At 47.4% G+C, this 9,397-nt stretch overlaps 1 protein-coding gene across 3 annotated transcripts in view; it reads left to right on the top strand.

Moving 5' to 3' along the window:
- The window catches only part of GALNT2 (polypeptide N-acetylgalactosaminyltransferase 2), a 224,334-nt gene that overhangs the window by 15,383 nt on the left and 199,554 nt on the right, over positions 1–9,397 (top strand). The window lies entirely within an intron of this gene.

Genomic DNA, 9,397 nt, shown 5'->3' on the forward strand with positions numbered 1-9,397 from the left:
GTGCTCACCAGTGATCACTCCTGTCCTTAGAGTGGAACTTGACCTTGTTCTCTTAACAGTGTGAAGATTCCTTTACCTTGGCCCTGTGCTTGATCTTCATGATGAACCCAGTATGGAGTTGGCAGGAAAGCTGTCTTCAGATTACCTGCCCAGTCCAGAAAGCCTCTCCCACCTTTCTCTATTGTAAACCATGGAAATAAAAGGGGCTCAAGACACTAATCCATCTTCCCTGATGGGCCCCCACCTTTCTAGGGTTCCCTGCTCTAAGCAGGTGGCACTGTGCTCCTGCCTGGCTCTTGCCTCCTGCAGCACAGGGTGAAACACTGGCATTTTTGCACTTAGTCATGTCTACTAGTATGGGCCCCAGAAGCATGGGGTGTTTTATATGGATTAGGTTTCTTAGCATGCTGAAATGTAGATGACAGTGATTCATCAGGGCCGGATTTGGAGATAAACAAAAACTGTCACATAGAGTCTCACTCATAGGCTTACATTTAAAAAGCTTTCCCAGGCTATGGGAGTTATATGAGCCCCTTGTCTCACTGAGGCGGGCTGTCACAAAGAAGCAGTTAAGGGCTGGCTGCCTGGGGGCTGGGAAATGGGCCGATCCCTCATGGCTCAGCCTGCCCTTGCTGGCTGCTTGCCCTGGTCAACTGTCCCTTCTGCCGCAGCCTTCCAGGAGCTCCCCATGGAACAGAGAGTCTCTCCTAGGCCACTCTGCTGACCACCTCCTCCTGCCCATGGCTGGCAGTTTTCTGTCCCTAACTCTTAGGGAAGAGGAATGGCCAGGAGGGTTGGGGGTAGAGTTACTGAATTTCCAGAGTTCAGGTCAGGACATGCATTTGGGCAGGGACAAGGGTACTTTCGGGACTGTGGTTGCTCTGGTTCAGTTTCTTAACTCTGGCACCATTGACATTTTTGGCTGGCTTTTTTTTTTTTTTAAGACAGTTGTACTCTGCCACCCAGGTTAGAGCTCAGTGGTACAACCAGAGCTAACTGTAGCCTCAAACTCCTGGGCTCAGGTGATCCTTTCACCTCACCCTACCGAGTAGCTAAGACTATAGGCATGTGTCACCACAGCAGGCTAATTTTTAAATTTTTTGTAGGGACAGGGTTTCACTATGTTGCCCAGGCTGGGCTCAAGCGGTCCTCCTGCCTTGGCCTCCCAAAGCATTGGGATTCCAGGTGTGAGCGACTGCACTGGGCTGGATCATTCTTTGTTGTGCAAGGCTGTCCTCTGCATTGTATGATGTGTAGCAGCTTCCCCAGCCTCTCCCCACTAGATGCCAGTAGTTCTCCCACCCCTGATCTTCCAAGTTGTAACAACCAAAAATGTGCAGACATTGCCAAGTGTCCTGGCGAGGGTGGGAGGTGGGCAGAATTGCCCTTGGTAGAGAACCACTGCCTTAGTCCGTTAATTTTGATTTCATTCCTTCTGTCTGAGCCATTATGGTTAGACCTTCTTGTAATGAGACTGCCTTTCTGTGTGGTCTGGGGTGAACCACTGTGGGGAGGGCTAATATATTAATACGTTTTAATTTTCAAAATTTAATAAACACTTTCATGGCACTCACTGTGCATAGAAATAAAAGGGCTGCATTTCATCTCAGCCCTTTTATTTCTTCTAGTGTACTGATGAAACTGAAGCACAGAAAGGTTAAGTGACTTTCCCAAGGTCACAGAGCTCACAGGTGGCAGACCCAGGGTTGTCTGGTGGAAGAGATCTCCTCAGGGCCTCTGGAGGCAGTGGGGTTTTTCTGCAACTCCTGGCCGAGGGTTTCTGCCAGCCAGCAGTGAACCTGGCTTGCTCCTGCTCCCTGGGCCTCCCATGCCCCTTCCTTGCATTGGCAGTGCCCTCATACTGCGGCCTCATTTGGAAAGTTCCTGGAAGGCATCTTGGAGCAGATGCACACTTGATAATGCTTTGATAGTAGTGCTGGTCTGTTTTGCTTTTTTTTTTTTTTTTTTTTTTGAGACAAAGTCTCACTCTGTCGCCCAGGCTGGAGTGCAGTGGCACAATCTCGGCTCACTGCAACCTCCGCCTCCCGGGTTCAAGCGATTCTTGTGCCTCAGCCTCCTGAGTGGCTAGGATTACAGGCACCTACCACCATGCCCAGCTGATTTTTGTATTTTTAATAGAGACAGGGTTTCACCACCCAGGCTGGTCTCAAACTCCTGACCTCAAGTGATCCACCCACCTCGGCCTCCCAAAGTGCTGGGATTACAGGCGTGAGCCACCGTGCCCGGCTGCTCTTTTCTTCATTTTTACCTTTTGCTCCATGGAATTTGTGTTCCTACCCTCCAGGCCTCTGCCTGTCCTGAAGGCCGCAATCCTCAGCTGCCCCTCCGGAAGGAGCAGAGATGAAAACTGGCTCTGGTTCTTTTCATTTATTCTTTCAGTGAGTATCTCTTGAGACCCTCCTATGTGCCAGGCACTGCTTGAGTGTTTGGGAGTACACCAGTTGTTGTAGCAGACACGGAATCCTTGTGGTCTTGGAGCTTTCATTCTAGTGGGGGGCTGCGGGGAGCCAGACAGTAGACATGAAGTCAGTTACGTCGTGTGCAGAAAGGTGCTGTGTGCTGTGGAAAAAATAGAGCAGTGTATGGGGATTAGGGATGAGGGCGGAAGGATAGTTGCAGTATTAAAGTGGTGATCACGTAGGCTCATGGGGAAGGCAGGATTGGAGCTGAGACTAAGAGGGAGCCATTGTGGTTCCCTCTGCTTCAGAGGTAGCCCCTGGTTTCATCTTCGTCCAGCCTCTTTTTCGGTGATCTCTCTACTCCTTGGTTTCTTTTGCTAAACAAATGAGCCAGTTTTCTTTCCCGAAGGATGTTGCCTTTGGTTGGCTAGTGGTGGAGTTTCCCTCCATGCTGTAGACATCTTGGTCACCTGTTCTTGTTCTGGTCTCCTCGATGAGGCATGAATGCATCCTGGTTAAAAGGTTGTGTGTACTCTCATAATCGCTTCCCTTACTACAGACCTGCAGCTGCTCGAGGCAGTTTTAATTTAGACTGCTCCAGCAGTTTAATTTGCTGATCAGCTTCGTGGGATATGCTTGTGGAACAATCTCATTTCTTGATTCCTGAGCTGACTTCTGTGAAGCACCAAGCATCGGGTAAGTCATTCATTGTTAGGTGCACCATTGAAGAACAGTACACATTCTTAAAGTGCTTTCTGCACATATTGCTGTTTAACGAGAAATCCCCCTGGGTCCCTGTGCACCTTTTCCAGCACAGGATTTCCGCTGTGATGTGATCTTTGGGAGTTGCTGCGGGTGGGAGTGGGGTTTGTTGATTCATATTTGCAGGAAACCAGAGATCAGATGCCTGCCTGATACCCAGGCTTTGGAGAGGGGGGTTATTCTTGGCAATGTGGGTAACACTGAGCTTCTGTGATAGATAGTATTGTACTTGGGGACAGTAAAATGGAGATGTGACTTCATGGCCAATCTCAGGGAGGCGGAACTGTGGGAAGTTGTGGCTGGTCCTGGTTCTCAAGGTGAGGGCATGCAGGTGCTTTTCATAGAGGCCATTCTCATTTATGAAGGGTCATTAGATATTTTATCGGATTGGTAGGTACCAATCCCATAAAACCATTGGGATGGTTAGGCACCGTGCGTCCAGTGTACTTCTGGATAAAACAACTGGAGCATTTACATGGCGGGAAAAAGAACAGGTAATTTGAGAGGCCTTCACATTCAAGAGTGGCCATCAAGGTTTCTTCCTCTCTGCGTCAGAGACCAGTCCAGGGAGTGAACTCTTTTCTTTCTGACAGGCTGCTGCCCTAGAAAAATGACGCACTTCAAATGAAGGGTCTTTCTTAGCTAAATTGCCCTGTGAGAGCTTGAGGAGCCGGTGCAAATTAAAGGCCTGTGTTTTGGAGATGCCCATGAATTAAGTACTCTGTTATCAGTATTTGGGTAAGTGTAGATGACTGTTGGGTAGGGGCATTTGTATGGCTGTCCTGGATGATGAGAGGGTTGGCCCAGTGTGGGATGCCTCCCAGTCTCATTGTTTCCTCCTTGCTGCCTCTGGGGCTTTCCCCTTGACCTAGATGTTGAGCTTTTGCTCTGTGACCTTCAAAAGGCCTGCCCTGCCGCACTCTCCTTCCCCTCCTGCCCTTGTCCTGCCCCATCCCCTGTGCCAGGGAGCTCACTTAGTTGTCTTCCTGTCTCACTTTTGATCATCACTAATTTCCCCTGTGTCTGGAATACAACTTTTTCATCAATTCCGAGAGGCCATTATTTGTCAAACATGCCATTATTTTGTGGACCACTAGGAAAGAAAAAACACTGTCCATTGACCTGTGACACAACGGGTTCTTATCAGTTGGCATTCTTATTTTCTACTTATTGAAAGAGCTCTTTCAGACCGAGACATCAATTTTTCCATATATCACTCTCGGGCATAGATAGATACAAAGGAAAATACAAGTGAAATACATTGAGCAAAGTGTTCTAAAAGTTTTTCAGAGTCCAAGCACTCTGAGTCACTTTTTGACTCAGATGTTAGTGCCTATTTTCTTCAAACAGAGTCATCCACTGTGCCACCAAAAGCGCTGGTGATGTAGCATTTCCTAAGGAAAAAAATCCATAAAAATACTAAGAGCCATTGGTTCTGGACTTTGAAGACAGCTTGGCAATGAAGTCGAGGTAGCCAGCCTTTGACTCTTCTGGGAATTTTGCCTAACTCCTCAATTCACCATCCATTCCTATCCCACCATGATTTGGTTTTTAGGGATTAAGAGTGCTTGCTTCATTGTCGTTTCTTGGATTTTCTTCTAAGCCATTGACGTATATGTCCTGCAGATGTGGATGATTGAGCATGGGCTGGTAAGAATGCATCATGGGCCTTGCCCAGCCCATAGCATTGCCGACGTCATTGATTGTGAGCTGCATTCCAGTCGGGGGTGGTGGAGGAAAGGGCATCTTAGAATTGACCAATTACAGCCTTTCTTTTTCTCGTGTGTCACATTGCAGTTGGGCCTTCATATCTGCGGGTTGCACATCTGCAATTAAGGCAATTCCTACTTTATTAGTGGTTATATTATTAAAAATCCTTATTTTTTGAAGAACAATACAAACTGTGGATACAATGTGTCGTATTTGGGGGGGGATCATGGAAGAAGCCAGATGTGCTGTTGAAGTTGACCAGTGGGTTCATGGAGTTCATTCTACTGTTTTATTTTTGTGTACTTTTGAAAAGTTCATTTAAAAAATTTAAAAAGATATTTACTCATGTATGCAGCATAAATTAAAGAAGCAGCTGAAAACTAGTATTTTTGTAAAAAGCAGCTCAAAGGGTTTGTGATCGTATTAGTCCAGAGGTGCTTCTGCCTCACAGCTCTTCTGTAGTTTGGGATATTCCACAGTGATTCTTTTCATAGGGAGCATCAGAGATCACGTTAGATCCTGACTTAGTACCTGTATCACCAGGGAAGCATTCTTACATTGGTTGCTGTTTCTTCTGTGAGGAGTATCTACATTCTTTGGAAATTGCTAATCCTGGTGCAGTTTCTGGTGGTAGAGGATGAGCTCAGGCGGTCTGTGAGGTCATTTCTGCCTAAGCAGACTGCCCGGTGGACCAAAGACCCTGTTACCCACCAGAGTTCACTGTAGATGTTTTATTTTATTTTATTTATTTATTTTTAGAGTCAGGGTCTCACCCTATCACCCAGGCTGGAGTATAGTGGCATGATCATGATCATAGCTCACTGCAGCCTCAAACTCCTGGGCTCAGGCGATTCTCCACTTCAGCCTCCCAAGTAGCTGGGACAACAGGCATGAGCCACTGCGTCCAGCCAGATGTTTTATTATCTTGACTACACCCTTCTCATTTGCCAGGCACCTCTTTATGTTCAGTCTTTCTGCCAGATTTTTCACTCATGCTAGGCAGCTTTGCTTGTGGTTATAAGCTATCCATCAGGAGCTGTGGATGACTTGGGAAGCTGAGTGGGAGACCGTTAATAAATATGTGTTAGTCCTTTTGGTTCTCCCAACAAGATATTGATGCTAAAGGCTATTTTACGTGGTATTTGTCAATAAGAGATTTTGGCAAATTATGATACTGCGTATCTTCTGTAAGGTATAATTCCTGGTACTTCAAATTTATGTCAGCTTTGTCTCTGAGATGTCTGAAATGCTTTAGAGCCATTGCTCATTTGTCTTGCTTTTCAGCATGCCTGGGAGAATGAACAGCTGGGGAGAAAGAACAGCTTTTCTTCCCACATTCACACACAGTTTCTGATGGACCCACAGGTTACTAGCCTGCCCCACGGGTCATGCAGTAGCAAAGTTGGGACTAGAATTTCAGTGTTCCTCCACCTGCCTAAAGTACGGCTCTGGAGAAAGTCAGCCCTGGCTGTCCTGGTCTTAGTAAAGCTATAGTTCGTGAAACATCAGGTTACAAATAGCAGGTTTCCCTCTTGCTGACGCAGAGCTGCAGCTTCAGGCTTGGAAGGTGCTGATTACTGGGGCTGGTGATCTACTAACCCTTTATTGAAACTGCTGATGTGGATGATCGAGAAGCAGAGAGCCGGGAGGAGAATGTAATTCAAGTCTGGGTTCTTGGATGGTCTAAGCTCCAGGCCTGAGGCTGGCCGTCATGAAAGGAACATAACTGTGGCTGTCCAGGCCTCATAATTGGGCTCATGGAGGCAGACGGGCTCATGAGGAATGTCCCTATGGAGAGGGTTGCTGAGGCTCAGCCTCCATCTGCACTTCAGTAACTTAGGAGCTCACACATTCTTATGGGTCAAGAAGTAATCTGGGTCACTAAGCATTTGCCTAGGAAGATGTGAATTTGGCGTCCTTTGTTTTAGAAAGAAAAGGGATAGAGGTAAAGTTTCCCCTCTTCCTGGTAATAAATGTGACTTGGCATATGTCATAATTGCAGTAGTGTTTGTACTTAAGACATAGGTTTTAGTTTAGAGGATTTTTCTCCCTAACTGGCAGTGGAGAGTGTGTGGAGTCATTTTCCTTGTACTGGCCCTGGAAGGATATTTTTGGTGATCTAATTTTTTTATTCCAGTGTTGCAAAGCGCCGACATCATTATCAAATGTGCCATAGTTGTTTGGAAGCGAAGCTCTCATCAGCTATGTAAGTTTTTATTTTAGGTTACTGTGGAGAAGGGGAGGCCTCGGTGGAGGACTGATGTGTGTTCAGAGTCGGAGCTTTCTGCAGAAATTCGAGTCCTGTTGACCCAGGGAGCAGGCCTTGACATCAGGCCCCGTGCATGAAGCAGTGTGATGTCCCAAGCAGTGGTGCTCTGACCACTTGCCATTTAGGTCCTGGTGCCAGCGGGAAGGTCTAGCATCAGCAGGTTGCCAGGGTGACTCTGTAAATCCATACTGGGGGCTTTGGAAACAGTTTTGCCTGTTTCTGGCCCTAGCCTCGTTTGACAGCAGAAGCCCAGGAGGCTTGTGCATGGGAGCTCTTGGTGGACAGCTAGCTCTGGGTGTCTTTCTGGGGCTGCTGTGACATGGCAGAGAGGATGCATAGCACAGGGGCCACTGGCCTGGGCTCCGGAGCAGACTCTGGGTGTGCATTCTGGCTTATCCAGTTAGCTCTGTGGCCTCAGGCAAGTCACTTAACCCTTCAGTGCCTCAGTTTCCCCATTCACCTATCATCAGGTTGTTCAATGATGAATAAATTAGTTTATGTAAAATGCTCAGAATGGTGCCTGGTACATACATAGTAAGTGCTTAAAAGTGTTAACTGCTGTTGCTAATGTCAACTGTCACTTTGAAGGCGGGGAGGTGTTGACACGGGTTCTTGGGGAAGCTGCATCAGTGTGCTCTCACATCACATGTGACACGTCGCAGGCATTCACGAGCCCAGAGGCTCCTGTTCCCCAGCCAGAGCCAGCCTCCTCTGCCAGGTTTGAAGTGAACCAACCTACTTTCCTCGAAAGCGCCTCCAGCCTCCGCAGACCATGCCTGAAACTGTCATTCCTAGGTAGGTGGGTTGTTTTGGAAGGAGTGTGAGGATGAAGGGGCTCCTGCAGCCCTTTGCTTCTTCCTTGGGTGGGGAATCTGAGCCCCAGACAGCATGAGGAAGCTGGTCAGGGTCCCCCCCAGCTGGTGTGAGGACCGAGTGGCCCCTGGGGTTCTGCAGGTAGCTTCAGGCCAGAACCCTTTCCCCATCCAGTGTTCAGTGGCCAGGAGATTATTTCCCAATTCCACCCTTAATCTTTTCCAGCTTGTCTTTGAAAAATTATACCGAGATATGGTTTTAAGTGCGTGCTGTTTAATTTTTTAATACTCTTATTGGCAATTGGATTTTTCAACATCTTGAGCTGTTACTATCTGAATATAGCGTGTTAATTTGAAAACTTTTCTGCAAGGTTTTAATTAGGAAATGTTCTTTCATTAGTTCAGTTTCTGGCTTGCTTTTGAAACTGCAGATGAGTGACAAGTGGAAGACAAATTAATAATTGTGGCAATGCAACAAAGCCCCCCTGTGAGGGCTGAGGACTAGTTCTGTCAATTAGAAAAGTGCTCACGTGGCTTTGCTGATGGCTCTAATTAAGACAACTCACAACTGGATTGCAGATCAATAGATACACTCTGTGATGATTTTAAGGAGGAATGACCTGTGTGAAAACCCACGTTTGGTCATGCTAACCATGACGAGGAAGGATGGCACAGTGGTTGGGAGCCTGGCCTGTCATGTTAGACCTGGTTCAGATCCTGCTGTTACTACGGAGTAGCTGTGGGACATTGGCTTGCGTTTCCTTGTCTGGAAAAGAGAGTTAGTGAGTTGATGAAGATGATGCTGACGAGCTTAGTGAGGACGTTTATTTGTGCTTGCTCTCCCTTCCTGCAGGTACTTCTGGGGCTGGTCTGGCTTGACTTCTCTGACCCAGGACGGGTCTTGCTTAGAGCAGACCTGCAGGTCAGTGGTGACATCAGGTGTGAATTTTTGGACTAGGAGTGTCAGTCGGGGTGCAGAGGCACCTGGTGAGGCAGGCTTTTCCATCCTTCTTCTCTAGTCCGTGTCCCTCCTTTGGGCAATGTGGAGTTGCCTTCAATCTGGGAAGGTCTCTGTTTCTTTGTGTAAGGTGAAGCTGTGGTGCTGAATGAAGCAGGTGTCACATTTGGGTTACATTTTTAAGGTTCTCTAATCGGTCAAAGTGCTGTGTAAGTTTCCAGGGGCACCGTAGAACAAAGCAGGCTTAATGGATTAATGGACATGATTGAGTGAGCTGATGGGTTGGTGATTTCATAGGTGTCTGGCTTTAAGCCCTGCCTTGCCTTTGCAGTTCCACAGCCATTCAGGCTGGTCATCTCTTCCTAGGGCCTCTGGAGTTGGCCTACCTTGGAGAGATCTCCAATGTGCCATTCCTCCTGCAGCCGACTCTCCTTATCCCTACTTCCTCAGTGCTGAGCCAGAGGAG

The sequence above is a fragment of the Homo sapiens genome, chromosome 1 (assembly GCF_000001405.40).
Source record: "Homo sapiens chromosome 1, GRCh38.p14 Primary Assembly".
Classification (NCBI taxonomy): Eukaryota; Metazoa; Chordata; class Mammalia; order Primates; family Hominidae; genus Homo; species Homo sapiens.